Source organism: Homo sapiens, chromosome 3 (genome assembly GCF_000001405.40).
Source record: "Homo sapiens chromosome 3, GRCh38.p14 Primary Assembly".
NCBI classification, from domain to species: Eukaryota; Metazoa; Chordata; class Mammalia; order Primates; family Hominidae; genus Homo; species Homo sapiens.
The window spans coordinates 56,014,497-56,035,851 of record NC_000003.12 but is presented as its reverse complement, the minus strand read 5'-3'; the positions used below and the strand labels follow the sequence as shown (position 1 = coordinate 56,035,851).

The window sequence follows — 21,355 nt, the reverse complement described above, 5'->3', positions numbered from 1 at the left end:
TGGAAGTATTCTGTTTTCGTTTGTTCATGCTGCTATAACAACATACCTGAGAATGGGTAGTTTGTAAAGAACAGAAATTTATTTCTTACATTTCTGGAGGCTGAGAAGTCCAATTCAAAGTGCCTGCCTCTGCTGAGGGCAGCTCTCTGCTCCATTATGGCACCTTGAATGCTGTATCTTCCAGAGAGGAGGAAGGCTGTATCCTCACAAAGCCAAAGGCACAAAGGCATAAAGGGCCAAACTCCCTCTGTCAAGCCCTTTTATAATGGCGTTAATCCATTCATAAGGGCAGAACCTTCATGACTTAAACATCTCTCAAAATGTCCCACCTCACAGTACTCTTGCATTGTGGATTAAGTCTCCAACACGTGAATATTGAGGGATGCATTCAGACCATAGCATGTTCCCTCCTCTTCAATTTTTTGGAAGAGTTTGAGAAGGATTGGCATTAATTCTTTAAACGTTTGGTAGAATTCACCTTTGAAGCAAGCAGATTCTGGGCTTTTCTTTGTGGGGAAGTTTTGATTACTGATTTAATTTCCTTACTCAGTGGTCTGTTTAGATTTTCTATTTCTTTATATTTTAGTCTTGGTAGGTTACGTGTTTCTAAAAATTTATCCATTTCTTTTAGGTTATCCAATTTTTTGGCTTGTAAAATGGCTCATAGTAATAATCTTTTATAATCCTTTGTATTTCTGTGGTGTCAGTTGTCATGTCACATCTTTCATTTATAATTTTATTTATTTGAGGCTTCTCTCATTTTTTATTAGTCTAGCTAAAGGTTTGTCAATTTTGTTTATCTTTTCAAAAAGCAAACTCTTAGTTTTTTTGTTCTTTCGGTTGTTTTTCTAAACTTAATTTTATTTGTCTCTGCTTTGCTTTCTATTATTTCCTTCCTTCTGCTAACTTTTGGGTTTGTTCGTTCTTATTTTTTTAGTTACTTGAGGTATGAGGTTAAGTTGTTTATTTGATATCTTTCTTTTTCCTTAATATAGGTGTTTCTTATTATAAACTTCCCTTTTAAAACTGCTTTTGCCATGTCCCCTACATTTTTGTATGCTATGTTTCCATTTTTATTTGTTTCAATATATTTTTAAATTTCCCTTTTGATTTCTTTCTTGATCAATTGGTTGTTCAGGAGTAATTTCCACATATTTGTGAATTTTCCAGTTTTCCTCCATTATTGATTTCTAATTTCATACTATTGTGGTTGGAAAAGATACTTGATATGATTTCAATCTTCTTAAATTTTCAAGACTGTTTGGTGGCCCAAGATATAATCTGTCCTAGAGAATGTTTCATATGCACTTGTAAAGTGTGTGTATTCTACTTCTTTTGAATGGAATGTTTTGTATATGTCTGTTAGGCCCACTTGGTCTATATTGTTATTCAGATCTACTGTTTCTTGATTGTTTTTCTGTCTAGATGACCTAGTCATTATTTAAAATGAGTACTGAAGTCCCCTACTATTATTGTATTGCTGTCTGTTTCTACCTTCAGTTTTGGTTATATTTCCTTAATATATTTAAATGTTCTGATGTTGGGTGCATATATATATATATTTATAGTTGTTTTACCTTCTTGATGAAATGACCCTTTTATTATTATGCAATGACCTTCTTTGTCTCTTATGACAGTTTTTGACTTAAAGTGTCTTTTGTCTGATATAAGTATAGTCACCCCTATTCTTTTTTGCTTACAATTTGCATAGAATATCTTTTTCTCTTCATTGACTTTCAGCCTATATGTGTCCTTTAAGCTAAAGTGAGTCTTCTATAGTCGCATATAGTTGAATCTTGTTTTTAAAAATCAATTTAGACATTCTATGTCTTTTGATTCCGTAATTTATTTACATTTAAAGTAAATGGATTAAATTATCCTGATTATCCTGATTATTTATAGGTAAGGACTTACTGCTGCTAGTCTGTAGGTGGAGGCTGAGGTGGGAAGGACACTTGAGCCTTGGAGGTCAAGGCTACAGTGAGCCATGATCATGCCACTGCCTTCCAACCTGGGTGGCAGAGCAAGACCCTGCCTTTGAAAAGAAAAAAGAAAAAAAAAGAAATCTTGTAGGCTGAGAGGGATGATTACATGATTCAAATCTTGTAATGAGAGAAATTCTCTTACATGAGAGAAATCTTGTGGGGATGATTACATGATTCAAATTTCTGAAAGAAGAAAAAAACCTGCCAACCAAGAATACTATACTTGGCAAAGCTGTCCTTCAGAAATTAAGGAGTGATAAAAGTTTCCTAGACAAACAAAATCCATGGAAGTTCATCACCACCAGACATGCCTTACAAGAAATGCTAGTGGTAGTTCTTTAAGTTGAAATGAAAGAAGCTCGTCACCACTATACATGCCTTACAAGAAATGCTACTGGGAATTCTTCAAGTTGAAATGAAAGGATGCTAACCAAAACATGAAAATATAAAAAAGTTTAAAACTCACTGTAAAGGTAAGACTTTGATCACATTTTTGGTACTCTAAAACTGTAATAGTGGAACATAAATGACTTTTTACTCTACAAAATATTAAAAATAACTATAGCTACAATAGTTTGTTAATTGGGACCACAGGCATGCACCACCACACCCAGCTAATTTTTCTTTTTTCCTTTTTTGTAGAGATGGGGTCTCACTCTGTTGTCCAGGCTGGTCTTGAACCCTTGGGCTGACATAATGCTCTTGTCTTGGCCTCCCAAAGTGCTGGGATTACAGGCATGAGCCACTCTGCCCAGCCTTTGTTTTTACTTTACTTTACTTTTCTTTCTTTCTTTCTTTCTTTCTTTCTTTCTTTCTTTCTTTCTTTCTTTCTTTCTGTTTCTTTTTTCTTTCTTTCTTTCTTTCTTTCTTTCTTTCTTTCTTTCTTTCTCTTTCTTTCTTTCTTTCTGTTTCTTTCTTTCTTTCTTTCTTTCTTTCTTTCTTTCTTTCTTTCTTTCTTTCTTTCTGTCTCTCTCTCTCTCTTTCTTTCTTTCTTTCTTTCTTTCTTTCCTTTCTTTCTTTTGTTCTTCCAACAGACAGGGTCTCACTATGTTTCTCAGGTTGGAGTTGAATTCCTGGGCTCAAGTGATCCTACAGCCTCACTTCACAAGTAGCTAGCTGGTAGTACAGGAATGTGCCACACCACAGTGCCTGGTTGGGGTTCCAAGGTTCCTGTTGTAAAATCTGATAGTCTTAAGGAAATTCCTTTTTATGTGATGAATCACTTTTCTCTTGATGCTTTTAAAATTATCTTTGTTTTTGACTTTTGAGAATTTGATCATATCTCAGTGAAGATCTTTTTATATTTATTTGGGATTCTTTTGGCTTCACGGATCTGAATACTCATTTCCCTCTCCAGATTTAGGTAGTTTTCTGTCATTATTTCTTTAAACAATCTTCTGCCCCTTTCTCTTTCTCTACTTCTTCTATGACTCACATAATGCATATATTGCTTTGCTTAATGGCGGCCCATAAGTCCCATAGACTTATTAAAATTTTTCTTCTTTTGAGTTGGTACTTTCCAAGGATCTGTCTTTGAGTTTGTGGATTCTTTCTTTTGCCTGATTAAATCTCCTGTTGAAGTTTGTCCTAGTTCATTTGTGTTGCTATCAAGGAATACCTGAGGCTCAGGAATTTATAAAGGAAAGAACATTTATTTGGCTTATGGTTTTGTAGGCTGTACAAGAAGCATGATGCTGGTGTCAGCATGGTGAGGGCTTCAGGCTGCTTCCACTTTTTGTGGAAAGCAAATAGGAGCTGGTGTGTAGAGAGATCACATGGCAAAAAAGGAGATGAGAGAGAAGAGGGAGGTGGCAGACTCTTAAACAACCAGTTCTCATTGGAATTAACAGAGTGAGAACTCACTCATTACTGCAAGGATGTCACCAAGCCATTCAAGAGGAATCCACTCCCATGACTGAAACACCTCCCATTAGGCTCCACCTCCAAGATTGAGGATCAAATTTCAACATGAGATTTGGAGGGGTCACACAAATCAGACTATACCAAAAATCCCAGTGGAATTTTTCAAGTTTAGTTGTGTTCTTTAGCTGCAGAATGTTTTATTGTTTTTTCTTGTTTTTGTGTATTTCTTTATTGTTTGTGTGTTATTTTCCTTATTTTCTTTAGTTGTCTGTGTTTTCTTGTAGCTTACTGAGGTTTTTAAAGATGATTGTTATGAATTGTTTGCCAGTCAGTTTACAGATAGTCATTTCTTTACAGTTGGTTACTCATGCTTAATTTTGTTCATTGGGTGGTATCAAGTTTCCCTGATTATTCTTGATCTTTGTGGCCTTGAATTTTTGTCTGCACATTTGAAGAAGTAGACTCCTTTTCTAGTCTTTACAGACTGGCTTCAGCAGGGAAAGGCCTTCACCTGTTAGCCTGTCCAGAGATTTTGGAGGGGCCATGAGATGGAGTCTGGGCAGGTTTGCTGCTAGAGTCCTTGGGCTGGCTGGCCTGGTACCTGGTTGCATGGGGCCAGCCATGGGTATGTGGGGGTGGGCCTGGAGCCAGCATGTACATGGGAAGGTCCAGTACTGAGTCCATGGTAGAGACCTGGAATCTGGGTTATTTAGGGTGGGACTGGATCTTATGTCCATGGGGATCAGCTTGGGTTGGGGTCCACAGGGATGAGCCTGTTGTCTGGGTGCAGACCAAAAGCTTGTATCCATGGGGGACAGGCTGGAGGCTGTGGTCATTAGGGCTGACCTGGGCTGGGGCAGGCCTGGTGCCTGGGTCTATGGCTATGTGCCTGGTCTTGAGTATTTGGAGGCCAGCCTAGTGCTGATCCTCACTGGAAAGTGTTAAAGCTCTGCCCACAGGGGCTAGCCTGGTGATTGAGTGGGCCTGGAATCTGACTGCTCAGGGGCCAGCCTGGAGCCAGGGTTCATCGGAGTAGGCCTGATGCTAGGATCTTTGGCAAAGTCAGGTGCTCATTTCACTCTCTTTTCCCCATGTATCTCTCTCCCCATGCTGCACTGCCTGGGATTCAGGAAGGGCTGACTGGATACTGTGAAACTGTTCTTACTCTCTTCACTGAGTCTTTTCTTATATTTGTGCTCCATTCGGAGGGTATAATTACTTACTCCTAGATTAATTCGCATCCATGAAGATTATTCATGCATAGACAGTTGTTCAAATTGATGTTTCTGTCAGAGGATTAGCACTGGAAACTCCTATTCTGCCATCTTACTGACATCACTCTTTGTTCTAACATTAATTTTTAAAATGCAAGAATGGCTATATTAATATCAGATAAAGTAGACTTCAGAGCAGAAAAAATTACTATGGACCATCAGTAACATTATATCATAATAAAACAGAGTAATTCACCAAGAAGATATAGCAATCCTAAATGTATATGCAACAGAGCTTCAAAATACATGAAAGAAAAACTATTAGAGTTGAAAGGTAAAATAAACGAATTCACAATTATAGTTTGGGACTTCAACATACCACTATCAGCAATTGAACTAAATAAAGAAATTAAATATAGGAAACTAAATGTAGAAAATTAGAAAAATATGGAAAGAACTGATCAATTCTATCAACTGATTGCTATTTATAGAATATTCCCAACAGCTGCTGAAATGCATTATTTGCAAGTACATATATAATATTCACCAAGATAAACTATATCCTGCATTGCAGAACACACCTCACCAAATTTGAACAAACTGGATTTATATAAGGTATGTTCTATGATCTTAATGTAATAAAACTGGAAATTGATAACAGACAGACAAGGGGATCTATAAACACTTGAAAATTATATATCACACTGCTAAGTAACCCATAGTCGAAAGATGAAGTTTCAAAGGAAAAACATACATGAAACTGAATGAAAAGAAAAACACAAAATATCAAAATGTGTGGGATGCAGCTAGAGCAGTGCTGAGAAGAAAATGTAAGCATTGGATGCTTATATGAAAAAAGAAGAAAGATCTTGAATGAATACTCCAAGTTCCTACCTCAATAACCCAGAAGAACAAAATAAACCGAAACTAAGTAGAGGGAAGGAAATAATAAAAATGGAGCAAAATTTAATAAAATCGAAAATATAGAAACAACAGAGAAAATCAATAACATTAAAAGCTCCTTCTTTGAAAACATAAATAAAATTGATAAATCTCCAGAAACCCTGAGAAAAATAAAGAAGATGTATATTGCCAATGTCAGAAATGAAACAGAAGCTATCATTACAGTTCCTGTAGCTATTAGCAACCTAATAGAAGAATACTGTAGACAACTTTATGCTCATAAATATGACAGTTTAGTAGAAATGGACCAATTTCTAAAAAACCACAAAGTATCCAAAAGTAACCAACATGAAATAGATGACTGAATAGTCTTAAAACCATGAAATACATTGAAGGTGTAGTTAAAAGGCTCCTGAAAAAGAAATTTCCAAGCCCTGATGGCTTCACTGGAGAATTTTACCAAAATGTTAAAGAATTAATCCTAATTTTACTCAATTTCTCCCAGATAGGAGATGAGAGGGAACACTTTCCTACTAATTTATGATGGCAGTAACTCTTTGATTCCCAAACCTGAAAAAGACAGTATCAAATTAAAAAACAAAAAGAATAAAGCCAAAAACCCGCAGAACAACCCTATAGATGACTGTCTCTCATGAATTTAGATATAAAACTCTCCAACAAAATATTACATAAATCAAATTAAAAAATGTTTAAAAAGAATAATATGGCATGACCAAGTGAAATTTATTCCCGGTGTGCAAGGCTGATTTAGCACACCAAAACTAATTATTATAATCCACAGTATAAACAGGATACAGATGAAAAAAATGTGTTAATTAACACAGAGAAAGCACTTTACACAATTCAATACCCATTCATAATAAAAACTCTTAGTAAGTTAGGAGCAGAGGAGAGCTATCTCAGCTTGATAAAGCACATTTACAAAAAACCTATAGCGAACATCTGTTTTTCACCATTAAGACTGAGTATATTCCCTGTAAATTCAGGATAAAAACAAAGATGCCTATTCTCACTATTGGTATACAGCATAGTACTCCAAAGCCCTAGCCACTGCAATAAGGAAAGAAAAAAGTGTCATCCTTTTTTGAAGATGACATTGTTGTCCACATAGAAAATCCCAAGGAATCTTTAAAAAGGGACAAAAAATGAAACAAAACAACCCACCTCACTCCCAGAACTAGTAAGTGACTTCAGTAAGGTCTCAGGATGCATGATCAACATACAAAATTTAACTACATATCTATATACTAACAACAGAATATGTGGAAGCTATTGATAAAATTAAAAATATAAGACGGTTTACAGTTATCCAAAGAAAATAAAATATGTAGATGTAAACTTAGGAAAACCTGCAGGATCTGTATGCTGAAACTTATAAAATGTTAATGAGCACAACTAAAGAAGACCTAAACAAACTTAGATAAGTATTGTATTAATGAATTGGAAGACTCAACATAGTAAAGGTGTCAATTCTGCTCAAATAGTGCTATATAGATTTAATGAGATTCCTATCACAATCCCACCAAAGGGTTTTGATGACATAGACAAACTTTTTATAAATTTCTTATGAAAAGGCATAACCCCCCGAATAACTAAAACAATCTTGGGGAAAAAAGAATAAGGTTAAAAGATTCACTCTACTAATATTAAGCCTTACTATATAGTTACTGTAATCAAGACAGTGTGATATTATTGAAGGATAGAGATATAGATTAATGGGACAGACTAGGACCCAGAAATACAGCCACACAAATAAGCCTAAGTGATTTTTTACAAAAGTGCAAAAGCATTCCAGTGGAGGAAGGATAGCCTTTTAAACAAATGATGCTGGATCAATTAGATAATTAGATATCTACAGGCAACACAATGAACATTGACCTAAACTTCACACCTTATGCAAAAAATAACAAAAAGTAGATCATGTACTTAAATGTAAAACATGAAAGTATAAATTTGTTAGAAAAACTATAGGAGAAAATCTTCATGATTTAGGACTAGGCAACAAACCCTGAAAGTGACATCAAAAGTATGATCCATGAAAGGAAAGACTGATAAATTGGACCTTTTGTTCTGTGAAAGACCTGTTAAGAAAATGAAAAGACAAGCCATAGACTTGGAGGAAATAATTGCAAACCATGTATCTGACAAAGGACTAATACCTAGAAAATATAAAGGAGTCACAACGGTGAATAGTAAAACAAAAAACTTAGAAAATGGGCAAAAGACTTGAAGAGACATTTTACCGAAGGAGACTTACAGACAGTAAATAAGCACATGAAAAGATGTTAAAAATCATTAGCCATTAGGGAAATGCAAAATAAAACTACATTGATATATCACTACACACCTATAAGAATTACCAAAATAAAAAATACTGATAACACCAAAAGTTTGTGGGGATGTACAGAGGCCAGATCATTCACACACTGTTGATGAGAATTAAAATGGTAAAGCCACTCTGGGAAACAGTGCAGTAGTATCTTATATAATAGAAATTACAACTTCCATTCAACCCAGCAGTTGCACTCTGGTAGCATTTGTCCCAGAAAAGTGAAAACTTACGTCACCGAAAAAATAAAACCCGTAGTTGAATGTTCATAGTCGTTTATTTGTAACAGCCCAAACTAAAAACAACTGAAATGTCCTTCAGCAGGTAAATGCTTAAGCAAGCCTGGATATCCATGCCATGGAATACCTACTTAGCAATAAAAAGGAAGAAGTTGTTGATAACTATAACAACTTTGATGGATCTTCAGAGAATTATGCAGAGTGAAAAAAGCCAATCCCACAGGTTACATACTGTGTGACTTTATTTATATAACATTTGTGAAATGACCAAATTATAGAAATGTAGAAGAGATTAATGGTTGCCATGGGTTAAGGATGGGACAGAGGCAGGAGGGATTTGTGTGCAGCTATAAAAGGGCATTGCAAGAGATTTTTGTGGTGTGGGACTTGTTCTGTATCTTGACTTTGGTGGTGGTCACGTAAATCTACACATGTGGTACAATTGCATAGAACTAAATACAGATGCACACAAATACACAAATGCACATGAGTGCATATAAAAACTCATGATATATGAATAAGGCCGTTGGGTTGTATCAATGTCAATTCCCTGGTTATAGTATTTTACTATAATTATTCTAGATGTTACCATTAGCAGAAACTAGGTAAAGAATAAAGGACTCTCTTTGTATTATTTCTTATAACTGTATGTAAATTTCAATTATCTCAAAATAAAATGTCAAAAAGAAAGCTTTTAGTACAGTGCCTGGCTTGTAGGAATCACTTAATAGATAATGGCCATCATCTTCATCATTCTCATCCTCCTCCTCCTCCTCATCATGACACTGTTATATTAGCTGAAAGTTGTGAGGCTGCTTTTTGACTGGAGACAGCTATATGTTGCCTTCTAAATAGTCATCTCATTAAAGCAGCTTTCCTGAATAGACCCTAATGCTGGGAACCTATGTTGCTTAAGAATGGAGATCGGTTCAAGAAATGGAGGAAGGTGGCTGGTTGCGGCAGCCCATGCCTCTAATCCCAGCACTTTGGGAGGCCGAGGCAGGCAGATCACTTGGAGTCAGGAGTTTGAGACCAGCCTGGCCAACATGGTGAAACCCCATCTCTACTAAAAATACAAAAATTAGCTGGGCGTGGTAGTGCACACCTGTAGTCCCAGCTACTTGGGAGGCTGAGGCAGGAGAATGGCTTGAACCCGGGAGGCCGAGATCATGCCATTGCACTCCAGCCTGGGCAACAGAGTGAGACTCCATCTCGAAAAAAAAAAAAAAAAAAAAAAAAAGAAAGAAACGGAGGAAGGGGGTTTGCTGCATACAATACTTACTTTTTTATAAGCTGAAAATTTGTTTTCAAATTTTTATTCCATTTTTTGGCCATATTAAAATGTTACACATCCTGTTAGAGTGGAGAATTCCTCCATTTTGAATGAATTCCACTCACAGAATTCTCTGTATAAGAGATCTAAAGGACCAACATGTTTTTATTTCAAAGAAAAAATATGGGTATAATAAGCAGAATTCTAGAATGGTTCCCATATTATGTGCCTGTTGGTGTTATGTCTATGCTTAGGTTACATTTTATGCAAAAGGGAATTTTCAGATGTAATTAAGGTCACTAGTCTATTGACCTTAAGTTGATCAAAAGGGAGATTATCTGTGTTGGCCCTACCTAATCACATGAGCGCAGTAAATCTGGGGCTAGAGGTCAGAGACAGGGAAGTCAGAGATATTCCAAGCAGGAGGGTGATTTTCTATGTGAGAAATGCTTGGTTGCTGGTTTTAAAGAGGGAGGGAAGTACTGTGTGGCAAGGGCCTTTGTATATAGCCTCTGGAAGCTGACAGCAACCTTGGCCAGCAGCCAGCAAGGAGCTGAATAATACCAACAACCTGAATGAGCTTGAAAGAGGACCCCAGATTCAAGATGGGAACTTAGCCAAACTGATCCCTTTATATTAGCTTTGTGAGACCCTCAGCAGAAAAACCAATCAGGCCATGCCCAGACTTCTGATCTGATGCTGTTAAGCTGCTAAATTTGTGGCAATTTGTTATGCAACTGTAGAAAATTAATACAATGGGTTGACTTAAATCTTTGTGTTTAAATCCATGGTTTGGTAGGCCCTGTACTAGCAACCAGCCTTGCCTTTTCCACTCAAGGAGCATCCTTGGCATTCTGCAAAAGGTACCTCTGAGGGACACGGAGAGATTGGCAGACCTGTGCATTCATGCTCCCCAAGCAAGCTTTTTCTTTTTTAAATAATTTTCAATCTGTCATGGAACAATATGTGGTCTTACTGTGCACTTGATCAGTGTGCAGTTCCAGCCACGTGCGACACAGGTTCAACAACACCTGAACTTGTCCATACATTGCTCATGATGACAGGTCCATGGATCATGTTCTTGCATATTAGGATGCTGTATACACACTTATGATTTCTGTAGTTATCTTGTCAAAGACTGGTAACAAAGAGTTGCCGGGACCATATTTGGAGAAGTGTCTGAGTCAAACCTTAACCTTGTCAGCCTGTAGGAACTTGAGAGAAAGAAAGTCCAGAGCAATTGTTTTAGGATGGTGGAGTTTGCTGGCTCAAGAGCTAACACTGGAGCTCTCCCTAGGTGCTGTGGATATGGGTCATAATTTTTGGCCATCCAGACTCCAAGCTTTGTTCTGATTTTATGAAGAACATCTCACTATGGAAGATGAAACTGCTAACACTTGGTTTCTAAGCCTCCCTTGCAGTTGGGCTGTATGCCTTACCTTGGCTTTCCTCATTAGATGTACCTGCCCCAGTGTCATTGGAATGTTGGGATTTTGAAGGACCCTCTCTCTGCTGCAGGGACTGCAAAGTCAAGATCATGGGGCAACATGACTGCAGGGCTAGTGGTGTTGTCCGGGGGTCAGTTGAAGCCACTCTTGTTAGGGTTCCTTCCTTTCTCACTTCTTTCGTTTATTCAGTAAGTTAATATGTAGTATTGCCAACACAGTTGGGTGCTGCGGCCAAAGAGAACGAGTGGGACAGAGCTCACTGTACTGTAAGCCTCGATGTCTAGTTTTCAGCAGTTGGGGCAACAGTGTTTGCACTAGACCACTTGCATCAAAACTCTGGGCATAATTCTATACTATTTTCCCTGACCCTGATTTTCTAGCCTTTCTGGCAGTTTTGTGAGTTTCCCCATTTTTCTGCTTAAATCAGACTGAGCTGTTTCTGTTGCTTTAGCTAATAACATTAACTGATACTCTAGGTGTGGGTAATACAAAATCCAGAGACAAATCTTAGAGAGAAGATAAATTTTATTAGTGAATGAATTTTGGAATTTTATAATGAAAACTACCAGAAAGATACATTTGGGTATATTTGAAACTGTAACGATGCCTAAGTATGTTTTAGGTCCTCTGTTTTAAGCTATGTATAGACTTTCTCCATCACTTTTTATTACTTCTTTACTTCTTTGTAGAATCTCGGAGCTGAAGGGACTCAGCCGTCACCTACTCTGGCCTCTTCCTTTTACACAAGCCACTTTCTTTAGAATTCCTTCCTTCCTTCCTTCCTTCCTTCCTTCCTTCCTTCATTCCTTTTTTCATTCATTCAGTAAGCTAATATGTGGGGTGTTGCCAACAATTGGGTGCTGCAGCTGGAGATACAACAGTGAGTAGAACAGAGCTCTTGTCTTCATTGTGCTCATGGCCAAGTTGTGGAAATAGATAAGTAAGGAAGCAATTTTAATAGTGTATGAAAAATGCAGATTAGGGGACTTAACCTGGTTTAGGGGGTTGGAGAAGGAGTCCTGAAGGAGGCAAGGAGTGTGCTGATATCTAAAGGTTTGAGTAGAGCTTGAATAGGTGAACAGTTGGAGTGCAAAGAGGGCTCCAAGAAAAGGAAATAGATAGGCAAAGATAGGGAAGATATAAGGAGATCCTCGTGCTAGGGAATAGCACTAGTGATTCGGCAGGGCCAGGGCTTGGCTGAGGGATTGTAGAAGATCACACGGACCATCCCTCGGAGGGCCTCATGTATGATATCAGGGAGTTTGGGCTTTATGTGGGGGGCAATGGGAGCCATTGAAGGGTTCTAAGGAAGGAAGTCATGCAGTTAGAGTTGCATTTTGGGAAGGTTACCTTTGACTGCAGCATGGAGACCAAATGGAAGGAGGAGCAAATGTGGAGTCAAGGAGGCTGTGGCTGTTAGTCAATGGTCCCTTTTGTGCTGAGGACTACACTTGTGTGAAATTCACAACAAAGCTCCCCTGCTGAACATTGGCCCATCTCAGGCTTTGCAAGCCCAGAGTTAAGGACCCCATTAATTCTTGGGCAGAGCTTCAGAAGTCAGCTAAAGCCATTAGGATTAGGGTTGTCAAGTGACCTCCAGGGTCTGAGCTCTCCTCCTCTCTTACCCCCTTTCCAGGTTTCTGCCCCAGAAGGCATAGCTATTGCTTCAGCAGTACTGGCTCCTTCTGAATCTTCCCAGCCATGACCAGAAGGCAGCTCAAGTCAAAGGCAAGGGCAGGGTTTCTCTCTAGCTCCCTTGTACTCAGGCCTATCTCATACTTTGTTGTCTGTGTTGCTAAGGTGGTGTCCAATTCTGCAATATGAAATTTCTCAAAAAAACCCTTCCCTTTCCACCCCCAAGGCTTCCCATCCTAACCCTTGTTTTCAATTTGCTTATTTTCCAATTCCTGCTATTTGAGCCTTGCACAACCTCACCCTTTGAAGAAAAAGGTTCCCAACATTTTTCATATAAATGTCATAACAATTTGTGAACATGAGAAAACTGTGCAGTACTTTTTTTTAAAAGATACAGAATTTTATATTCTCTCCAGTCTTTTAAGTTTAAATTTTAAGAATTCAGTCATCTTTGGAGTATGAAAGGATTATTTTCTCCTGCAGAGTCCTTTTAAAAAGCAAAAACTTATTGTTCAAAAGTCACTTAAATAACCATTCTGATATTTTGTAGTTGGTTTTAAAATATCTTTTTATTCTGTTTACACTCAATGAAAACACACTGGCAGATGCAGAAAAGCATGAAGAGGAGAAGTAAAATCATCAGTCGTCCCATTGCCAAATAAAACATTTTAGTAGATTCCTTATATTTTTGTTCTATGCAATAATTTTTTCTTTTTACAAAATTAATGCCATACTATTTTACATTCTGCTTTTTAAAGATCTACTATTTTCATTTAGTTAGCAATGCTATGCAAACAGGATTTTAAATACTTGCATAATAGGCCATGGTTTAAATATGCCAATATCCCATTACTGGGTATATACCCAGTGGAATATAAAGCATTCTACCATAAAGACACATGTATGTGAATGTTCGTTGCAGCACTGTTCACAATAGCAAAACCATGGAATCAACCTAAATGCCCATTAATGACAGACTGGATAAAGAAAATGTGGTACATATACACCATGGAATATTATGTAGCCATAAAAAAGAATGAGATAATGTCTTGTGCGGGAACATGGATGGAGCTGGAGGCTATTATCCTTATCAAACTAACGCAGAAACGGAAAACCAAATACCACATGTTCTTACTCATAAGTGGGAGCTAAATGATAAGAACTTATGAACACAAAGAAGGAACAACAGACGCTGGGGTCCACTTGAGTGGGGAAGGTGGGAGGAGGGAGAGGAGCAGAAAAGATGACTACTGGGTACTGGGCTTAATGCCTGGGCAATGTAATGTTATGTACAACAAACCCCCTTGACACGTGTTTATTTATGTAACAAACCTTCACATGTACCCCCAAACCTAAAATTAAAAAATTTAGCTCCCATTAAAAAAATAAATAAATATGCCAACAATCTGTAACTGCTGGCAACTTGGACAATTTAGTATTAAGTAGGCATTTGTTTTATTTATTAAATTATTATTTACTCATGTGTATAGTATTTATTATTTTTATGTATAAATATAAACCAAAAATGGCCCATAATTTTACCAGCTGGATAACCCTGATTGACATTTTAAAATAATAAAACCCACATGGTTAGAAAATTCAAGCAGAAATCTACACAAATGTACAAAGATGAAAACCAGAAACTCCTTCTTCCTTCTGCCTCCTAGACCTTACCCTACAAAAGTTAAAATTTCTTGTGATTTGTTTCCAGATATATTTATCTGTTTATAGATGTTTCAAATTTTATGCAAGAGATTATATGCTACACACTGTTCTGTACCTTATTTTTTTCTCTTAAGAGTCATTCTTGGTGATCTTTTTGCAGCATTTCTTAAAGTGGTGCATCCCTAGCTCAATAAATACATCTTTAATTCCAGCTCTGTTAGTCAGTCACACCTGCAGTATCATTGGCTCTTCTGCTGGGTTCTTAGATGTGAGATAAACAGATCGCATGTCTCCAGTCTCCACCATCCCTATTTCTTCAGCTCTTGACCCCTACCTGCATGCCAGTAGGACCCTGACCCTCAGTCTCCCTAGTCTTTCCAGTTATATGAGGAGGCCCCAGGGATTATGACATAAGTGCACAGCCACTTTTCCTTTGGTCTCTATTTCTCGTGCCCAAAGTCCTTTGAAATTGCTGCCTACTACTGCCCCAAGGCTGATGTCCTCCTCTTATGCCCAGGGCACTGTCTGCCAGGGTGGGCCAGTGGGTCTAATCAGTGTATTCAGAACCACGGTGGATTTGCGTACATGTGTGTACACAAATGTATCCATGGGTGTATTCAAAGTAATAACATACACTGTTTCCAAGAGTCAGTCCTCTCAGCTGCTGGCTTCTTCCATATAACCAGTATCATTCTGACATATAACCATCCATATTCTTACTTATGTGTATTTTTGTGTGAACATTTGTCTGGAAGGGAGGAAGCCTTTGTTTTGACTGGAGATGATTATGCCTTCTGAATTGCTGTGTTTTCCAAGGAGTGGCAATTAATTTTCACAGTGGCAGCTGGATGGGAACACATTACATTTTGATGAAGGAAAAGAATAATTATTTGACCTATAACCTGAGTTTCTAAGCTGTCTATCTCAAGGCAGAAGAAAAAAAAATGAATGAAGGAAAGGTGGAACGAAGGATGGAAGGAGGCTGGAAGAAAGGAAGGAAAGAAAAAAAATTTCATCTTTGTTAGGCCACAAAGTTTACGGGTTTCCATTGTGGCCATTGAAAAAATTAGCCAAGACCATGTCCTCCAGATTGAAGGTCAGCAGAGCCATTGTCTTTGCATCCAGAGCTGTTTTTGACGCTGCTACTGCTGCCACCTCCATTGTCATTGTAATCATCTCCTCCTCCTCATTACTACTGGGATTACTATTATTATTATTTGGATTACCATTCCAGATACATGCTAAGGGAATCAAGTAATCAAAAAATTTGTTTGAGTGTACATTGTGAAACATACTTTTGGAATGATTCCCTGAGAAAGCTGGGTGCAGAATGCAAATATTTTGAATGGACTTATCTTAGAGTTGTACTGCTTTTTTTCCTTGTCATTTTAAAACCCTTAATACGAATAAATTGTTTGTATAGTGGGGCTTTTTTAAATCCTTAGATAAGAAATACATGGTTTGAAAGCAGAGAATAAAAACATGAATGATAATGTCCTCAATGCCCAGGAGAAAGTCCTTGCTGCTGCTCCTGGACAGGCATTGTAATCGGCTATTTGGCGTGTTTATTTCAGGCTGCAGATAGTGGATAAAAGTGGCTGGTTGGTTGCCAGCACATGACTTAGTTGCCAAATGGAGTGTTTAGTACTTGTTACATTTGACTTATATCACAAGTTCTTCCCATTAACAGTCTGCTGGTGATAACCTACTTGGCTTTTCATGTGGTTACTTTGAAACAGCCACTTGACAACATTTGGCATATCACAAACTTTAATACTGAAATAAAGGAGTAAGTGAATGGCTACATGGGATCTGCCATATACTGATATGGTACTTGGTGCAGAATGGGCTCTCCAGTAAATGTCTGTTTAATCAATGAATTAATCTTGCATAATATTTCCCTGGTTCAGTGTACCAAGTTCAAGCCTATCGACTTGAGACCTAAAAGGCTGGTAAAAGGGATAGAAATACAAAGAAATAATAGTGATTACGTACGTGTCAGAAGGGCTTACCGTTGTATGGAGGGAGATACTCTGCTCCTCTGTATCACCATTTAAAGACAGACTTGAACTAAATGGAGAAATGAAGATTTCATCAAAATGGCCTTTTGTCTAAGTCAAAGCTACTGACAATTTCTATCATTTCAGGTCTTTTTCTTTCTTTTTTTATTAATAGATCCACTTCAGGAATTTTGGCCTAGGATATGTAATCAAATATGCATTAAAATATTGATTTTTATTTTTAGATTGAAAACTTGCAAGAACAACTTAGGGATAAAGACAAGCAACTGACCAACCTGAAAGACAGAGTGAAGTCCTTGCAGACGGATTCCAGTAATACAGATACTGCACTGGCGACGCTAGAGGAAGCTCTGTCAGAGAAGGTGAGCATGCACTCAAAAACTGGGGAATCAGGATATGGGGAAACAGAGTTGGGGAAAGTTGATCCCAATGCATTTAAATGTGCCTGCTTTTCTTCTTTTGCTAACACTACCTTTAGTCCCAGCTGGTCCTTGTTCTTCCCACACAAGCCCTCTTCAGTGGACTTGGCATACTACAGTCAGGGGCATTTTCTGAAATGCAAATCTGATTACATCACTCTTGGCTTTCCTTAAAAACCTTCACTAGCTTGCCATTGCTCTTACGATGATATAATTTGAAATCCTCTACCTGGCCCCCAGGGTCCCTTCTCCCATCTGATCTGGCAAGCCCCCACTCTGTGTGCCTGCTCCCTCCCTCATTCTTTCTTTCATTTCCAGCCTCATCCCCCATTTCTCTTTTTCCAGGTTCTCTGTTCCCTAGTTATGTGGGGCTTCTAGATTTTCAACTGTACCATACTCCTTCCTGCCTCAGATGCTATTCCCCAGCTGAGGATATTCCTCACTCTCTGCTAATTTAATTCCTCCTCTTCTGAGAGGTCAGCTTCATGAGAAGTTGTATTGTGCAGTAGTCAAGAATGTGGACTTTGGAGCTAGACTGCCTGGGATCAAATCCTAGGTCTGATACTTTCTACTTTGGACAAATTACTTAACCTCTCAGTTTCTTCATTTGTAAAAGAGGGTAATAATAGTAGCCACCTCAGTGGATTATATTGAGGAGAAAATGCATGAAAATATGGAATGTGTTTAGAATAGTAGATGTAATGTTATCACTATTATTATTATTTTATCATTTCCTTGGGGACACCTCCTAGGTATCCCCGTTATGTCTCAGGAACACCACAAACTCCCCAGAGCTCATGTCACATTCTTAATTGTTCATTTATCTGTTTTTAATTTCTCTTCTCTGCTAGACTCCAAACCCAAGAAACATATGCTATGTGTGTGTTATCTTTCCATTCCCTGTGCCCAGCATAACCTGCATTGGGGATGCTCACTCAGTACTGGATACTGGTGGAGTGAGCCCCCACCATGTGACAGGTCCTCTTTTGAGCCTTGGGATGCAGCAGAGAAGAAAATGGGTGAAAATCCTGGCTCTAATGGAGTTTAGACTCTAGTGGAGGTGATGGGGAGACAGACAATAAATACGTGACATTCCTAGGATTTCAGAGGGTAATATTTTCTACAAAAGAAGAGAAGGCAGGGAGGGGTACAGGGAGTGCTGGAGTAGAATGGCCAGGTAGGAGCTTGCTGAGAAGGTGACACTTAAGGAAACACTTGAAGAAAGTGAGTGGTGAGCCAGGAGCCCTTGTGGAGGGAGAAAGCCCTGGCAGAGGGGAGAGCAAGTACAAGGGTGTGGGTGAGAGGAAGGGCAGCAGATTTCACAGGCCCTTGTGAGACAAGATTTTTAAAAATTGGCTTTTACTTTGAAGGGGATGGGATGCCATCCTGAGGGTTTCCTTCTGACTTACATTTAAGGGGATTAATTTGAATAAAAGAATGAATGAATGAATAAAATCCTTTAGGCAAACAGCTCATTCTGATGTTTACTTACTTTTAAAATGATTTCCAGTCCATTTCATTCTGGCTAAATGAGTTCATTCATTCTCTGGGCACCTATTGTAGGTATCAGACCCTGGAGTTGAGTTTGCATATGCTCTCTCCTCTCCTCCAACACTTCCTGAATGTCAAAGAGCCAGTGCAGGTAAAGTTCTCTAGGAATTCTCAGGAGGGACGGCTTGTTTGTTGGTTGGACATGGAAGTGCTGGCGCAGTTTTTAGGCCCATGTTATTGGCATTATTTTCAAATTTAGCTTGAAACCAAGAAAAGAAATGTTAACTTTTGAAGTGTGGGAGTAGATTTTATTATGTTCTTTTTCTTCATCTTTCCCATCATTTTTGATCCTGCAGCACTTTGCAGGATTTGTCCACACATGCATGGGATGTTGTGAGGGTTTTCCTCTGGGATGCCCTACTAGAGTAATAGCATTATCTCCTATATTCCCTGTTACAGTAGCCTATAAACTCTGGGGTAATGAAGTAATTGGAAGGAGACCTAGGGGCCAGTCCCACCTAAGCCACTAATTAACTGGGGAGCCATTAATTAACTGGGTGAGCCTGGCAAGTAATTGCCTCTCTCAGGGCCTCAAATTTCCCATTTGATGAATGGGGGAATTAGATTAAATGCCCATGGGTTTCCTAGGCCAGTGTATCCTAAAGGAGGCTTCTCTTCTGTTACTTCAGAATTACCAGGAAGCTCCTGTTGAAAGTCTCTATTGTTAGGCCCCATCTATACCTACCAAATCAGAACCTCATAGGGCCTGGGAATCTGCACTTTAGCAAGTTCCCCAAGTCATCGTGATGTAAACTCTAGTCTGAGAACCAAGGCTCTATGATAAAAACCTAGGAGCTCTAAAAAGATGGGTAAGCATATTTTTGGAGTTAAATTAAAAAGTTATTAAAAAAAAAAAAAGAAAAAAAAAGGAAGCTACAAAAAGACCCATGACTCTAGGGCTAGTCTTCATGGTCCTATTAAAAATTGTGAGATTTAAACGTAAAACCCAGAACTGTAAAAACTCTAGAAGAAAATCTAGGCAATACCCTTCAGGACACAGGCACAGGCAAAGATTTCATGATGAAAATGTCTAAAGCAATTGCAACAAAAGCAAAAATTGACAGATAGGATCTAATTAGACTAAAGAGCTTTTGCACAGCAAAAGAAACTATCATCAGAGCAAACAGACAACCTACAGAATGGGAGAAAATTTTTGCAATCTATCCATCTGACAAAGGTCTAATATCCAGAATATGCAAGGAACTTAAACAAGTTTACAAGAAACAAACAAACAACCCCACTAACAAGTGGTCAAAAGACATGAACAGACACTTCTCAAAAGAAGACATTTATGCAGCCAACACACATGAAAAAGAGCTCAACATCACTGATCATTAGAGAAATGCAAATCAAAACCACAGTGAGATACCATCTCATGCCAGTCAGAATGGCAGGTATTAAAATGTCAAGAAACAACAGATGCTGGTGAGGCTGGGCAGAAAAAGGAATGCTTTTACATTGTTGGTGGGAATCTAAATTAGTTCAACCATTGTGGAAGACAGTGTGGCAATTCCTCAAAGACCTAGAACAACAAATACCATTTGACCCAGCAATCCCATTACTGGGTATATACCCAAAGGAATATAAATCATTCTATTATAAAGGTGCATGCATATGTTCATTGCAGTACTATCCACAATAGCAAAGACATGGAACCAACCCAAATGTCCATCAATGATAGACTGAATAAAGAAAATGTGGTACATATATACCATGGAATACTATGCAGCCATGAAAAGGAATGAGATCATGTTATTTGCAGGGACATGGATGGAACTGGAAGCCATTAACCTCAGCAAACTAATGCAGGAACAGAAAACGAAACACTGCCTATTCTCACTTATAAGTGGGAGCTGAGCAATGTGAACACATGGACACAGGGAAGGGAACAACACACACTGGGGCCTGTTGGAAGGGGTCGGGGGAGGGAGAGCATTAGGAAAAATAGCTAATGCATGCTGAGCTTAATACCTAGGTGATGGGTTGATAGGTGCAGCAAACCACCATTACACACGTTTACCTATGTAACAAACCTACACATCGTGCACATGTATCCCAGAATGTAAATAAAATAAAATATAGCAAACAATTAAAATGAGGCTTTTGTAAGATAAAGAATGTACATTTTGACATTGAGTTACCTTATTTGACATCATATTTAGTATGTATTTCCAAATTAATTTTGCTAAAAAAACCATGGAGGAGAAACAGTTGCTGGTTAATAAAGTTATAAATCCTGTAACAATTTAAACATTGAAAGATTATAACTTCAGGATTAAATTATAAGAATGATAAGGTTTTACTTGAAAGCTTATAAGAATATTTAATAAGATGACTTTTTGGGGAGAGATATTCTCTTTTCATCTTTTAATAATTTATTTCCAGAGCTCTCTGCAGTAGTTTTATTTGTAACATTGGAATGAGGGGATGTTTGTTCAAAAACTATTACTGCTTATGTGTTCATTTAGCATATTTGGGTTGTATGATATCACCCTATTTCTACCTCTTGATTTCTTTCTTAAAATTCACAGAAGTAAACATATACCATATAATTTTTCATGTCATGAATTCTTGGCAGGATTTTATTTTTTTTTCTGGACCCTATTAAGATTTGATTTATTCTAGCTTAAATCCCAAAGTAATTCCCAAATCTGAAACTACTCCCTTTATTTAAGTACTTCCTTTGAGGCTGAGGGGGTGTCTGGGAAGGAATCTGAGGTCTGTGGGAGTCTGGCCCCTTGGACTGTCTTTACTGCTTGACAGTTGCATCACCTGGGCAAGCCTCTTCT

General features: G+C 38.1%; 1 protein-coding gene across 21 annotated transcripts in view; it reads left to right on the top strand.

Annotated features, from left to right (window-relative positions):
* The window catches only part of ERC2 (ELKS/RAB6-interacting/CAST family member 2), a 960,157-nt gene that overhangs the window by 432,616 nt on the left and 506,186 nt on the right, over positions 1-21,355 (top strand). For all 21 annotated transcript variants that reach the window (NR_132749.2, XM_017006156.2, XM_047447950.1 and 18 more), the window contains one exon: positions 16,821-16,958. Coding sequence is in view for 20 of the 21 variants with exons in the window: in XM_017006156.2 (XP_016861645.1) it covers positions 16,821-16,958 (138 nt within the window). In the remaining variant the exon portion in view is untranslated. The remainder of the gene's footprint in view (positions 1-16,820; positions 16,959-21,355) is intronic.